The sequence below is a fragment of the Homo sapiens genome, chromosome 2 (genome assembly GCF_000001405.40).
Source record: "Homo sapiens chromosome 2, GRCh38.p14 Primary Assembly".
NCBI classification, from domain to species: domain Eukaryota; kingdom Metazoa; phylum Chordata; class Mammalia; order Primates; family Hominidae; genus Homo; species Homo sapiens.
The window spans coordinates 15163239-15177569 of NC_000002.12; the positions used below are offsets into that span (position 1 = coordinate 15163239).

Here is a 14331-nt window from a genome sequence, read left to right on the forward strand (position 1 = left end):
CTTTCCAAGCCAAGTCCAGCATCCCCCGCTTCCCAGCAGGCCTTTCCAGAGTGGGACTAGAAGGGAGAAGGGGGTCATATTTGGATCCTTTCATTTTCTGTGTGTTTCTGAGGGAAAAGCAAGTGGGCAGAGACATGGCCAACAAGAGATAAGAAGCCAGTGACATAAACCCTGCTCTCCTGACTGGCTCTGGTTAAGCAGCTCTTGGGGACCACCCCTAGACATTCTGACTGAATGGGTCAGACTGGGAGGGACTCAGGGACTCGGGCTTCAATCTGGGTTACATTTTCCTTGGGTGATTCTGATATGTAGTCATGACTGGTAACCACTGGGCCAGATGGACTTCAAAGTGAATCCTAACACTTTGGAAGTCCCTGACTCAATCTTATTCTAGTAACCTAAGTGATGCCATAATAATCATTGTCTACAGAGAATGTTAACGGTGACAAATCTGCACACACCTTCTGGAAAATCTGGGGTATGAGGGGAGGTTTGGATGAAGGGTCCCACGTCTTATTCTGTGAGAAACAGGGGAGTTCAGACACTTCAGTATTACAACTTTTTTTTTTTTTTTTGAGACAAGAGTCTCGCTCTGTTGCCCAGGCTGGAGTGCAGTGGTGCAATCTCGGCTCACTGCAACCTCTGCCTCCCAGGTTCAAGTGATTCTCCTGCCTCAGCCTCCCGAGTAGCTGGGATTATAGGCGTGCGCCACCACGCCTGGCTAATTTTTGTATTTTTAGGAGAGATGGGGTTTCGCCATGTTGGCCAGGCTAGTCTTGAACTCCTGGCCTCAAGTGATCTGCCCACTTTGGCCTCCCAAAGTATTGGGATTACAGGTGTGAGCCTCTATGCCCGGCCCGGTACTAAAACTCTTGAACAGAACAAAGATAGAGTGTGCCCTTTGGGAAGGCAGGGACATCAGCTAACAATTAGAAAAAGTCACAGACATTTCATGATCTCCCTCGGCCATGATATTATCAGTCCCTGAACAGAAAAGGGAAATGGGAAATAGAGCAGAGTGTGTCATTCAAATGCCCTCCAGGATGCCCACCAGGTTCTCAGCAGAGGGACCTAGAAGTGCTCTGATGACTTAAGTTAACACGGCATTGGGCCAAGGGTTACATACCTGGGTTTGCATTGTGGTTCCATTACTTACCAGCTTTGTGACATTGAGAAAAGTACTTATTAATTAGTAACTTAAGCATTATTAGCCCTAGTTATGGGTAAGAAAACTGAGGCTCAGAGAGAGAGGCCTCCCAGTGCTCACACTTCGGCTGTCTGACTTCAGAGGCTCTCACCCTGCACTGGCTCACCCTGGGGGCCGCGTCCCAGGAAGCAAAGCTATAGAATCTGAGTGTGAGTGAGGGCCAGGGCAGCCCTTGCTTATTCTGATTTGTTTTCAGAGAAAGGTTTGGGATAACTGATAGGAACTTTTAACTGTAAGCAAGACAACATATCATCTTACTCCTTCATCTAACATTTATGGTTAACATTCTCAATACCAGCACAAAGAGGAACGCAGCGTTCTAGAGAATTTTTCCAACTGGTGTGATTCTTGAGTGAATTATTTGTTGTTCCTTCTTTTTCTCTTCCCCCCTCCCCGCCGCCCACAGAAACTGCTCAAACCTTTTAAATTTGGTTTCTAGTAAACGAGGATGTGAGTCAAAGCCATGGAGCTTCCAGGAGAGAATCCCTTCCTCATAAGCATTGTGGGGCTGGGGGACTGGAATGTGGAGCCCCTCAATCCTCTGCTGTCCTTTGTGCAGTCACTCCAGCCCTCTGGGCCTCAGTCTACTAATCCATAAAGTCAGGGTGTCATACTAAATGACTTCTGAGATCTGCAATACTGCAATTTGAAGAAAAAGGTCTCAGGAGGGATTCTGTTATAACAGACTGTGTTTCTCAGAATATTGCTCACTCAATGTTTTCATTCACCTGAAATGATGCAGGCTAGCTGCAAGGTTACAGAAAACCCATTACTAGTAAGCATGCTGCCTAGGAGTGGCTTGACCCACACCATCGGACATAGGCGGTGCCATCAGAGCTCTAGGAAGCTTTTTTGGCCGCGTGGGTCTGTCTGGACAGGTGTTACCTAATTTGGGAGAAATATGGTGTCCTCTTTCCTGTGAAGTATGCTAGAGGCTTGTGCAGGCCATTCCCAAATTCTAGGTGCTACTGAATTGGGAAAGGAACTCAATCTTGGGGTAGACAGTTGGTGGGAGGTCAGGGGAGTGAGCAATTACATAATAAGTCTCCTCCAAAGATGACCAAAACTTTCATCAGAGGACTCTGCAGCTCTGCAGCTACATCTAGAGGAGCGGAAATGAGGTGAAGCCGACGATGATGGTGATGATAAACTATAAGGCGAAGCGATGTTATTCTTAAATAGATGGGGAACCCAACCAGGTTGTGTGTAGGGCACCGGTGGGAGTGGGGTGGACAGGGGGAGGTGTGGAGATGAGGCTGCCCAATACACTGTATGTTAAAGACCACCAGGGAGCCCCGTTACATTCAGCCTGCTGGCTTTGACAGAGCAATGCAGAAATTGATCCAAGGTAGCCTTTTCACATGACTTAACCTTGTGCAAATTACTCCCTATAACAATGATGTAATATCATCTCATCTACCTAGACTAAACCTTCCTATTAATACACAGCCACTCTCCCTCCAAATTATTTCTTGGGGCAGAGGTAAAAGACCAGCACGCCTTAGTGTAGATGGATGCCTCCAACGGCCCCCCGGTCACTCTGTAGGTGTGGATGCTCTCCCCCAGCTGTGCCTCGGCTGCTGCTGTGGCTTCGATAAGGTGTGAGTCTCAGGGGGGGCGAAGTCTAGAGCCTCCACCATCAAGCACATACCTCTGTGGTGGGGGCAGGTGCCAGCAAGCTATGCCCTGGGACCCTTATCCTCCATCACAGGGAACACCCCTTGTGTGGGAGGTTTTCCTAAGGGTGTTGCTATTCACGCCCTTGCTATGATTGGCTGTATGCACATCAGCGAACCCTAAGATGCCAATCCCACCTGTGATAAGTGTGCATGCTGGCTCTGTTCCCCCACCCACCTGCCTATGTACGTTTATGGACATGAAATGTGTCAACCTGAACATGTCGATGCTGATAAATTTTGAAGCCCTCTAATCAGACAGCAATCATGTATTGGTCCTGATCATCTGGCTATGCCCTGAAGGTCATAATTCATATACTGTGACACTAGTGAGTGGGACAGAGAGTTAATATTTCTTCAGCTCCGGCTGTGTATCTGATAGAGCCTCACACACACAACCCCACATAATACTTATCAACTTTACGAGACAAATAATACCACCCTTATTTTTCTACAAAATAGACATAGGTTCAAAGAGGTGGAAGAATTTGCCCGAGGTCATTTAACTAATCTGAAACTTGAGTCCAGGTCCACCCTCCCTCCACCCATGACACCTGCCTTGACCGCCAGGCATTCTGCACACTCCCTCCCTTCCTAATGCCACCCCATCCACCAGCACATCCAACTTGCTGAACTACAGTTGTGGACACATTATAAACTGAATTCTATCCAGAAAAGGCAGGTTGAAATAAAAAAGGAGGGTGGGAAGGAAGAGTCTCTTAATCAATAAGAAAATATGTTCACCACTCAGTACAAGAAAGAAAAAAAAGGTTAAAAAAGCGGCAGCTTGCTCATCGTTTCCATACAGTTTTATTTGCAATTTGTTGGAACCATGGAGAACAATCGGCAGATACACATGTTGCTTCTGGGAACAGCATTCAACTCCAGATGCTTTTTCTGCTAAGGAGCAGGGCCACAGGTGGCCCTCACACCCAGTGCTGTGCTGCGCGGAGGGCTGTACTGAAGGTTCTGAAGGCCTGGTGAGTCCCCCTCACGGCCAGAAGGAGAGACCCGGCTTCGGCTTCATGGCCGGCCTCCCGCAGGTGTCTGCCCAGCTCCTCTGCATCCCAGCGCCCTTGCTGGAGGCTAGCCAAGAGGTGGTCAACAATACGTGGATAGAAGGGAGTGGAGACACACTTCACCAGCAGCTTGGCATCCAGGAGCAGGGAAAGAAGTTCTTGGTCACAATTGGAATCATTCACCTTCAAGAAATAAGACAGGCACAGCGTGAGGGGGTGTTTGCTTTGTTCGCCTCCCCCTTGGATCCCTCGCTCTCCACTGGGCTGCCTTCATCATCATTCATGCCCTGGCCTGGGTTTAAAAGCGTGTGTGGGTCACGAGCACCTCTGAGGTAGGTCACAGATTGGGATGACAGACGGGGCTCCTCTTAACATAAGAAGACACAAGAACCCCACTGCAATCATCACTACAGCTTCCAGATACTGGGTGCCAGAAACTATTCAACACTGTACCAGCATCTCTTCACCAAGGCCTTCTGATTCAACCCCGTGACTGGCACTTTTACCTCCCAATTGACAGAAAAGGAAACTGAGGTGTAGCAACTTTGCTTAACATTGTAACCAGTTGTAGAGCCAGATTGTAAATTTGGGTCAATCTTGACATCAAAGTCTGTGCTCTTAACAACCACATTTACTGTTTCATTTGTACTTTCACTGTGATCCACATTCTTTAATGCTGTATCTTTCTTGAATATAAATACACATGAAAAAAATTTTTTTGGAACAAGAAAACCTTTTTTGTACTCCATTGAGAGAAGAGTATGTCCCTCAAGCCCACTGATACGAGTAAGATAACCAACAGTGGGGTTTTAAACTATTTTTGCTTCAGCCTCTAGGAAGCTCAGTACCAACCTTGCCTTTTAAAAAACGGTTTCATAGGTTCTTTCAGTTTGCGTATTCTCTTTCTCCCTGGTCTTGTCTTCTAAATATATGTATTATTTTCAATATTTTTTTAAAGAATCAAGTCCACACTGATCATATTATCAAAATTCGGAGCTTCTCACTTACATTGGGGTATCATAAAACAGATTCCTGACAGGCTTTTCTTAACGTTACTGTGCCTTTTTAATAATTTGGATTGTAGGACTCTCAGAAATAATGTCAAAGCCAATTAACTAACGTTTAGACCAACTATATTATGCAACTGTACACAATGTGCTCTTCCTGCATGTTCTGTGACAAGGAAGAAAGGCTATTGAAGATGCGAAGGTCAACTGTGTCTACTTGTCTACTGACTGTGAGAATTAAAGCAAGAGAAGTACTGAGAATAAAATCCTGCCCACTATCGGATAGCGTGAATCTTTCCTACTACCCACAGGGGTCATTCAAAACCCAATGTAAACATCACCTCCAATGCCATCTTCTTGCTGACATTTTCTTTAACTCTCTTGGCCAATACTTGGGAGTATGACCAAGGATTCCTCCTTCCTCCATACTCCCAAGATGCCTGAGATCTGCCTCTTCATGCTGTATGATAAGTAATTTTATTTTATTTATTTCTTTTTTGAGATGGAGTTTTACTCTTGTTGCCCAGGCTAGAGTGCAGTGGTGCAATCTCGGCTCACTGCAACCTCCTCCTCTTGGGTTCAAGCGGTTCTCCTGCCTCATCCTCCCAAGTAACTGGGATTACAGGTGCATGGCACCACGCCTGGCTAATTTTTTGTATTTATTAGAGATGGTGTTTCACCATGTTGGTCAGGCTGGTCTCGAACTCCTGACCTCAGGTGATCCACTCACTTTGGCCTCCCAAAGGGCTGGGATTACAGGCGTGGCCACCGTGCCCGGCCTGTATGATAGTAATTTGTATGTCTGTCTCCCTTACCGACTGGGAAATTCTTGAAGGCACAGAAGTTTTATCACTTTTACATTTCAGCTCCCCATTTCATTAACATTTGTTAAATGGCTGAGTGAACCTACATTATGAAACTTTGTCACATTTTTGTAAACTGCACAAGTACACGATAAAGACCCTACCTCTCAGAGAGACTGAATAGAACTAGACTCCAGAACAGAAGACCCTCTCTGCAAACCCTCAGTGTCTTTTCTCCGGCCTCCCAATTCATGAACACTTGTACAGCCCACCTTTGACCCCACCTTTGACCCAAAACACTTAGGTTGAACTCCAGGAATTTACCTTTGTTTTTGTTTTTAGGAGCTAGATGACAGAAAAAGCCACCGGTTCAATGGACTTGCTTTTGTGCTGGAAGGGGCACGGAGCTTTGACTTCTCCTCGCTGGGGCTGCCTGTGAGTTCTGAATGCCTTCTTTCCATCCCACTTCTCTCCCTGTCTCTTCATGCCTAGCAAACAAGAGTCTCAACCCCACAGAGCTCCTGCCCTCAGCAGCACGGTGTCTACGTGCCAGAACCCTGAGAGGCCCTTGAAGTCTTCAGACATCCCTTCAAGACAGTTCTCACCTCCTCTGACAGAGGCAGGTTCAGTGAGGTCAAGTGTGATACAGTTGCTCCATGGTGGAGTGGCCTAGAAGCCCGTGTCTCGGCCTAGTTTACTTGTTTATTGTTTGTTTCCCTCCAGAACACAAGTTCCTATGGAGCAGAGATCTTGTCTCTTCTGTTCACCCCTGTATCCCCATGTCCAGAATGGGTGGTCACATGCTAGGAGCTGAGCAAGATTTGTGGAATGAATACCCAAGTGAATGAATCACTCCAAAGCTCACATTCTTTCAGTCTGTGTGGCTGCCTCCAGCCACGTGCATGCACATGCTAATGCGTGCACACACACAGGGCATCTGAGTTACTGTATGTGTTATCTTGGTTCATCCTTCAAAACAAAGAATCCCCCTGCCTAACCCTGCAGGACAGAACAGTGTGTGCCAGGATGCTACAGGCACATGTTTGATAAGATGCACAGATAAAAGGCTCAGAATCTGAACACTGCAGGGCAATACTTTCTTTGTTGCCCTGAATACGTCTTCTAGGCTGGGACACCTTTATTATTCTTTCAGTTTACTCACTAACCCTCCCCTCTGGGAGCCCGACAGTCTCCTAGAGAGGTAGTGATGGATTCTTCCAGCCTGAGGAAGAGACAGGGGTTCTGTTAACGCCTGCGGCCGCTGCTGCTCTCATTCCCTTCATAGTTTGTGTTTCTATCCAGTGCAACCAAATCCTTCCCGTGTTTCTGGCTGGATATACCCAGCTTTTCAGAAGCTGCTCTCATTCTGGCAGGGAGGGCAAGGGGTGGGGAAGGGCAGGGTAGGCTGTCTTTTCTCCAAAAGCCTGCTGCTTGCCTTCTTGGCTGAGAATGCCTAAGGCTAAAGACACGGAAATGAAATGCATGCTTCCTTCCCCTTGGCCCCGGCCCACTCAGAGGTTCCCTAAAGAACGATAAAGGTCTGCGTTTGCTGACCTGCATTGAGCTTGGGCAGTGAGCAGGGAAAGGTTGGGAGGAATTTTGGGTTTGGCTTCAGATAAAATCAAGTGCTGGAAACGCAGGGTGGGTGACTTTATCTTATTTCCTTTCTCTGACATTCTACCTGGGCCTGGCTCTTTGCAAGAAATACAGAATGGCCAGAGTATACTTTAAGATTGTCAGCTGCACGGAAAATACTGCATAGATAATTTTTCTGTGTGTATTTGGGAACAAAATAGAAAATGAAAGAAGAAAGAAAGAGATGGCCTTTGTAATGACCCATTCCAACAAGTACATTTTAAAGAGTCGTCTGAGGTTCAGAGAAGGAACAGGTCATAGACAGCCAAGATGTTCCTTTCTACATATCAGGGCACCAAGGCCAGACAGAATCCTTCCCATCAGCACAGCCGAGTGCTGGGTGTCCTGTCCCAAAGCACTCTCCAACACTGTGACATCAGCACACTGCTGAGTTGCTGGATTAATTTGTTAAGCCTCAAGTTGTCTTTGTTTTTTCTTGTTTTTGACTAAAATTTGTACTAAACATACTAAAACTTTAGTACTATCTGCCACAGAAGCTTGGTACTCTCTGACCATGCATTATTCATTCTAACCTACTTTTTCTTTTTAAGATAAAAATAAAAAAGTGGAAATAGTTGGAAAAAAACATGCCACCTTCTTGCTGACATTTTGTTTAACTCTCTTGGCCAAGCTGATTCCTCCTTCCTCCATACTCCCAAGGCACCTGAGGTCTGGCTCTTCAGGCTGTGTGACGGTAATTTGTATGTCATCCATGTTTGGGTCACCACAAGAGAATTATTTCACCCTCCTTTCCTCTCCAGTAACTGTCCATGTGCATAGATTTTTTTCCCACAATTAATCGTATGATATTTGTATTCTATTTTTCTCATTATATGCTAAGAATTTTTAAATTGTTTTTTACATAGTTTTCAGTCTTAAAAATTTTAATGGCTGCAAAATAGTTGTTATAAGTTATTTGACTTCTATAAATATTTCAGCCATTTTAAGTTGTCTGATATTACTGAAACACTACCATGAATGTTTTTTTGCACATACTTTCTTCTTCATCGAAATTATCGGCATAGGACAAGTTACCAGGGGAGGTATCACTGCAGTGTTACGGGCTGAACTGTGTCCCGCACAAATTCGTATGTCGAAGCCCTTACCCTCAGTACCTCACAATGTGACTTTATTTACAGACAGGGACTTTAAAGAGGCAATGAAGGTAAAATGAGGTCATCAGGATGGACTCCGATATAACCGGTGTCCTTACAAGAAGAGAAGACAGGACACGCACACAAAGCAAGGGTCAGCCATGTGAGGACAGTGAGAAGGCGGCCGTCGACACGCCAAGGAGAGAGGCCTGGGAAGAAACCAACCTTACACCTTGACATCAGACTTCTGGTCTCCAAAACTGTAGGAAAATAAATTTCTCTTGTTTAAGTCACTTAGTCTGTGGTACTTTGTTAGGGTAATATGAGCAAATTAATACATCAGGCAAAGTATCTGAAACATTTTTTTGGTTCTAAATATGAATGTAAGCACAACCACATAATGATGTCAACTGTGCCAGCTTACAGCGGTGACATCAGCATGGGAATGCATCAGTGTCACATCACGAACTTCTCAGCTTTAGGTGTTAATATTTTGATAGGAAAAAATCACTTGCTAATTTAGGAGATATGTAATGGTACCTCAAGGTTGCTTTCATTTGAATTTATTTGCAAGAATGAATTTTTCCATAAATTTCCTATCATTTTTATTTTTTGTTGTGGGAAGAATCAATCATTCACTCATTTAGGAGAGTTATAACAGCTTCCCACTCTTTCACATGTGAAGGATTCTCTGTATAACTGAAATCTTAACCCTGATTTTTGTTATCATGAACATTCTAACCTATTGTTTACAGTTCTGTTTCGGTTGTTTTTTGTTGTATAGAAGTTTTACACTTTCATATTGTCAGGAAAGGATCTACTCCTTTATGACTTGTTTTATTGCTTTAAAACTCAGAACTTACAATTCCTCAAAGGAACTGATATGTTATTTTTATATTTTCTGACTTTTAACAACATTTGACTTTTAAATTGATCAGAAATTGACTTTGGTATATGGTCTGTGGAAAATCACACAGCCCTGCCAGTGGGTTGACTGGTGCTTAAGGGGCATGAGAAAGAAAATATATTCTGTCATTTTTGGATGCGGTTTGGATGTGAGAAATAAATATGAGACAAGTCCAGAGAATTAGTTGACTTAATTCCCCTGATCAAATAACTTTGAATTACAGTGAGAGATAGTCTGGTGCTATGAAAAGAAGACAGGCTTTTGGGTTAGAGACAAATTTCCAATCCTGGTTCTGTCACTAAACAACTGTGTGACCTTGTTCAGGACGATCTCTCTGAGCTCCAGTTTCCACATCAGAAATACACACTGTCTGTAAGGGTTGGGAATAATACAAGCTTTTAAGTGCCCAGCACAATGCCAAGTGCAGAGTCCAGGTTCAGTAAATAGCTGATGTTAATACAGGCAAACAAATCATGAGAAAAGGATTTTCTAGAAAGGGAAGGGCTTATATATATCAGAAGATGAGTAAAATGCTTGCTATCTCTGTCAGAGATTGTTTTTTGTGTGTCAGCAATTAATTTTTGAGAATAAATGATACTTTACAGATCTTGGGAAAGAAATCTATTAAAGCACAAAGCACTGCTGTCTTCCAAGCCATTAAAATGTTATCTGCTTAATTCCTCTTCCAACAATAGGTAATGAACCTTCTCTGATTTAAAATCTTTGATTTTATGGATCTATATCAAGCTAAGAGTAATTACAATAATGAGGAAAGCTGAAATTCCAGAAGCATAATGCATGCAGCCCTCATTTCATTTGCTTTCAAGATTATTTAATACTATTTCACTGTTTACTTTAGGGAAACATATTTGTCTTGTTCTCATATATACTATTACTAATAAAAGTTATTAAAATATCAACCACAAGGGTAGAAAAATAAAAGGACAACGTAAGTATACGCTTGAGAAAAACACATACAGATAATTTTTGTATTCTGTATTTACTTGAATATGATATGCAGTTTCCATTTTCTCAGCATACCATCAGTTTCACTCCTGGCATGGCACTTAATGGAATACTACTTCTGAAACCAAAACTATGACAAATCATCTGCTCACGATCTCACAACGAGACGGAGACAATCTTTGAAAATCCAAGCTTGATCACCTCTGCAACCAAACCCACATGCTGGATTTGAGGGCCCTGATCTGGCTAGTTCCACACGCTGTACCTACCTCCTTGCTACCTTCGTTAATTCTTCGTGTTATTATTTCACATGTCAATCTCTCCATGAGATTATTCATTTAAGCACAGGGATAATAATATTTTATCGCATCTTTACAAGCGTCTTACCTATTCTTCACTTCATACACAGTGCCAGGCTGTGCACAATGCATGCTTGATATGTCTGTTCATACCAAGTAAATTAACCAACCACTAGTGCTGTTTAGGAATCCCAGGCTGACCTGCAGAGTGAGCTGCCTATTGCTGGACGCATCCAGACAGGAGGTACAAGTCAGATCTCTGTATGTTCAGGTTAAAACGATAGAAATAAATAGACATACCCACAACTTTGAAACCTGGACAGAGTTAAAGGGGACCAAAGACAGGAAGGTTTCTTGGTTTTGTATAAATATGTCGATTCACACATGCGTTTCTGAAAATCTTTATGGTTCTCCCCCCAGCTTGGACACTGGCCACTGTAAATAATGCTAGAAGGTTCTGGTGCCTTCATGGCAAGATTACAGGGGATAGGAATCACATTTATCAAATATGTGAAGGACTGTCACTGGAAGAAGGACATTAGTGATCTGAGAAAATCCCCAGGGCAGGACTAAGGTCAATGTGTTGAAGATAAAGGGGTATAGGTTTCATTTAGGAGGTGCTCTCGTGTCATAATCTCACCCAAAATGGCCCAGAGCCCCCTGCAGTGTTCAGCTGGAGCCTGGGAGAGTAAGTGGGCTTAAAAAGGAAGCACAGCTAGGCGAGTTGTTGGGGTAGGTCTGCTCTAGTGTTTTGCAGAGCTAATATTATATGCCTCAAGGTGCTTTCAACAACTTCATTCCTCTGTAGAAATAACCCTTTTCCAATATAATAAAGCCTTCCTACTTAGGTTAAAAGCAGAAGCATGGTGGGGTATAGACTTTGAATGTTAGGTCTGGTGTTTACATTTCAGCTTTGGCTGCTTACTAGCTGTGTGACCCCTGAGCCTCATGTTCTCATCTGTGAAACCAAAATAATAATATCTTCTCATACAATCATTAACAAAAAAAGAGAATGTACCTATTATAGTACTTGGCAAAGAGGTGGGATTTGCAAGATGGTAATTATTGTCATCAAGGAGAAACCCTTAATTAGGTACCGGAGGTCCTAAACACTTTTTATTTTTTATTTATTTATTTTTTTGAGACGGAGTCTCACTGCAGGCTGGAGTGCAGTGGCGCGATCTCAGCTCACTGCAGCTCCACCTCCCGGGTCCACACCATTCTCCTGCCTCAGACTCCCGAGTAGCTGGGACTACAGGCACCCACCACCACAACTGGCTAATTTTTTGTATTTTTAGTGGAGACGGGGTTTCACCGTGTTAGCCAGGATGGTCTCGATCTCCTGACCTCATGATCCACCCTCCTCGGCCTCCCAAACTGCTGGATTACAGGTGTGAGCCACCGTGCCCGGCCAACACTTCTTTTATAACCCCATGAATTACTATTTTAATAGACAGCACAGTCCAGGACAACCCCTGGGATGAGGGGTTGCATAGAGGCATTGAGCAGTACCAAAGAGGAGGAAGCAATGAAGAGCAGGAGCCGTTACAAATCGGGAATTACAAAATGGGAATTTTCAGCATACAAAGCCGTTATAAATACGTATCTGCTTACTTTGATGAAACAAGTCAAGAGGCTTCCATCCAAACAGAAAATATTCCAGAGATGCGAGTCAAACACATCAGCAGCATTGCCCATCTTAGAGAGAATACGGTTTTGAAAGTGAGCTCTCAATTTTACTGAGAGTGATGGAGAAGGTAATCCAGAAGTCTATACCATGCAGGGTTTTAATTGTTCATCATCAATACAATCTCAAGGAAGGACTTTCCATTTCTGGCCCAGGAAAGAGGCTGTTGGCCATTTATAAAAGGTTACACGCACCAGAGGTCTGCAATTTCGGAAAAGCTTAGAGAAAGAAATGAGTACTACTGCTAGAGGAAAAGTCAGTACAATCTCTGGCATCAGCACTTAAGCATCATCCTTTTAACTGTAAACACCTATAAAGCTGTCAGTATCTTATAATGAATAGCAAAATAATACATGCTATCAGCAAACAAGTGGGGGTGTTTTTAAACTTGGATCTGCACACCATGCAGGAGAGACTGCTATCAACGGAGTGCCTCTGCCAGATGTTTTTCTTTTAATGTCAATAGGAGCTACTGTCAACAACCAATAAGGGGAAAACTGAAGTTATTGATGAACTCAAGCGCCCTGCTAATGGACACGGTGAATAGCAAAATAAAAGCAACAAAAAGAAAGCAAAAGTTTTCTATTTTTCATTGCAATACCAAGGATGACTTAAAAACAGCTAGACGTGAGTCGGGCCAAAATGCCCACTGAAACTCTTCCCTTAGAAAAGTGTAACACAACCCTTTAATGGTGTTGGAAGAGCAATGATTAATTACAGTGATTTCATATTTTATTTATGTAGCATTTTAAAATGATACAATTACAGAGAACAGATTAGCAGTTGCCAGGGGTTGTTCAGGAGGTGGGGAGGAAGAAGGTGGCTGTGGCTATAAAGGACAGTATGAGAGATCCTTGTGTCTGGTACCTTGACTGCAGTTAGTGGTCACACGAAGTTACAGGTGACAATGTCACATGGAGACACACACACACACACACACACATACACTCAAGAGTGTCTGCAAAACTCATAAAATCTGTATAATGTTGACAGATTGAATCAATGTCAGCAACCGGGTCATAATATTACAGGTAAGTATCCCTTATCCAAAAAGCTTGAGCTCAGAAGTGTCAGTTTTTTCAGATTTTGGAATATTTGCATTATACTTACTTGTTGAGTATTCCTAATCAGAAAATCTGAAGTCTGGAATCTGAAATGTTCTAATGAGCATTTTCCTTTGAATGTCATGTTGGTGTTCAAAAGTGTTGAATTTGAGGCCATTTTGGATTTCTGGATTAGAGGTGTTCAACCTGTATACTCTAGTCATGAAAGATGTCACACTGGGGGGAACTGGGTGAAGAATGTGAGAGACCTTGCTATATCATTTCTTACAACTGAACGTGAATTTAAAATTATCTCAAAAAGTTAAAAAAATGTTTTTAAAATGGAAAACTCTGTAAAACCTTAGCCTCTGGGGACTGCAAAAGGTCTTTTTGTGGGACACATTTTTAGGGCACAGATGGGCTAGCCTAATGTGAGCATTCAACTTAATGCAGAGATGTTACAGTTCAGTCTCATTACCGAATTTCTAAAAGGAAGGATCTGAATGGTAGGCAAGTGACTCATCTTAGCAATTTATACCTGTGGCTTTGATTCTTGGATCTGAAGGGCACAGACGTTTCGTGCGCTATCATCACAACCACAGGCAAACTACTCACAGTCTGCAGAGCAGTTTCAAAACCACAGGCTTAGCACCATGCAGCACATCTAACGTGCAGATCAAAGTGTTACGGAAGTAAATCAGTGCCATATTAAAGGGACTTGGGCACTGCAGTGTTACCATTTAGTCATTTAGTTTCTTATTTTGATAGTTACTGTGTAGGTATGTGGGGGAAATGCTGCTGTGTGGGTAGTAAGATTAGTCAGCAGTTAGGGACCGCCTGTGCTAGTTGCAGTTCTGACAGATGCATTTGAGATAAAGAATCTTTAAAATGAAAACTGATACACTCTGCCCATGGAATCCAGGACTGTATCAAGAGAGCTCCATTTATGATGAATATGGAAAGGCACTGTATAATACATCACTGTTTT

At 43.2% G+C, this 14331-nt stretch overlaps 1 protein-coding gene across 11 annotated transcripts in view, besides 1 other annotated feature; it reads right to left on the reverse strand.

Moving 5' to 3' along the window:
- Nucleotides 1-14331, reverse strand: part of NBAS (NBAS subunit of NRZ tethering complex) — a 782426-nt gene that overhangs the window by 384330 nt on the left and 383765 nt on the right. For 8 of the 11 annotated variants that reach the window (NR_052013.3, XM_047444734.1, XM_011510357.3 and 5 more), the window contains one exon: nt 3678-4085. The exons of the other annotated variants lie outside the window; for them this stretch is intronic. Coding sequence is in view for 7 of the 8 variants with exons in the window: in XM_047444734.1 (XP_047300690.1) it covers nt 3810-4085 (276 nt within the window). In the remaining variant the exon portion in view is untranslated. Of the gene's footprint in view, nt 1-3677; nt 4086-14331 lie in introns of those variants that run through there. 11 annotated transcript variants of the gene reach the window in all.
- Nucleotides 11978-12188: a silencer, noted in NCBI's record as "fragment chr2:15315340-15315550 (GRCh37/hg19 assembly coordinates)". NCBI's record gives its function as "represses an EF-1alpha promoter that drives an FKBP-Casp9 reporter gene in an ReSE screen in K562 erythroleukemia cells {active_cell/tissue: K562}" and the evidence as "EXISTENCE:reporter gene assay evidence [ECO:0000049][PMID:32094911]".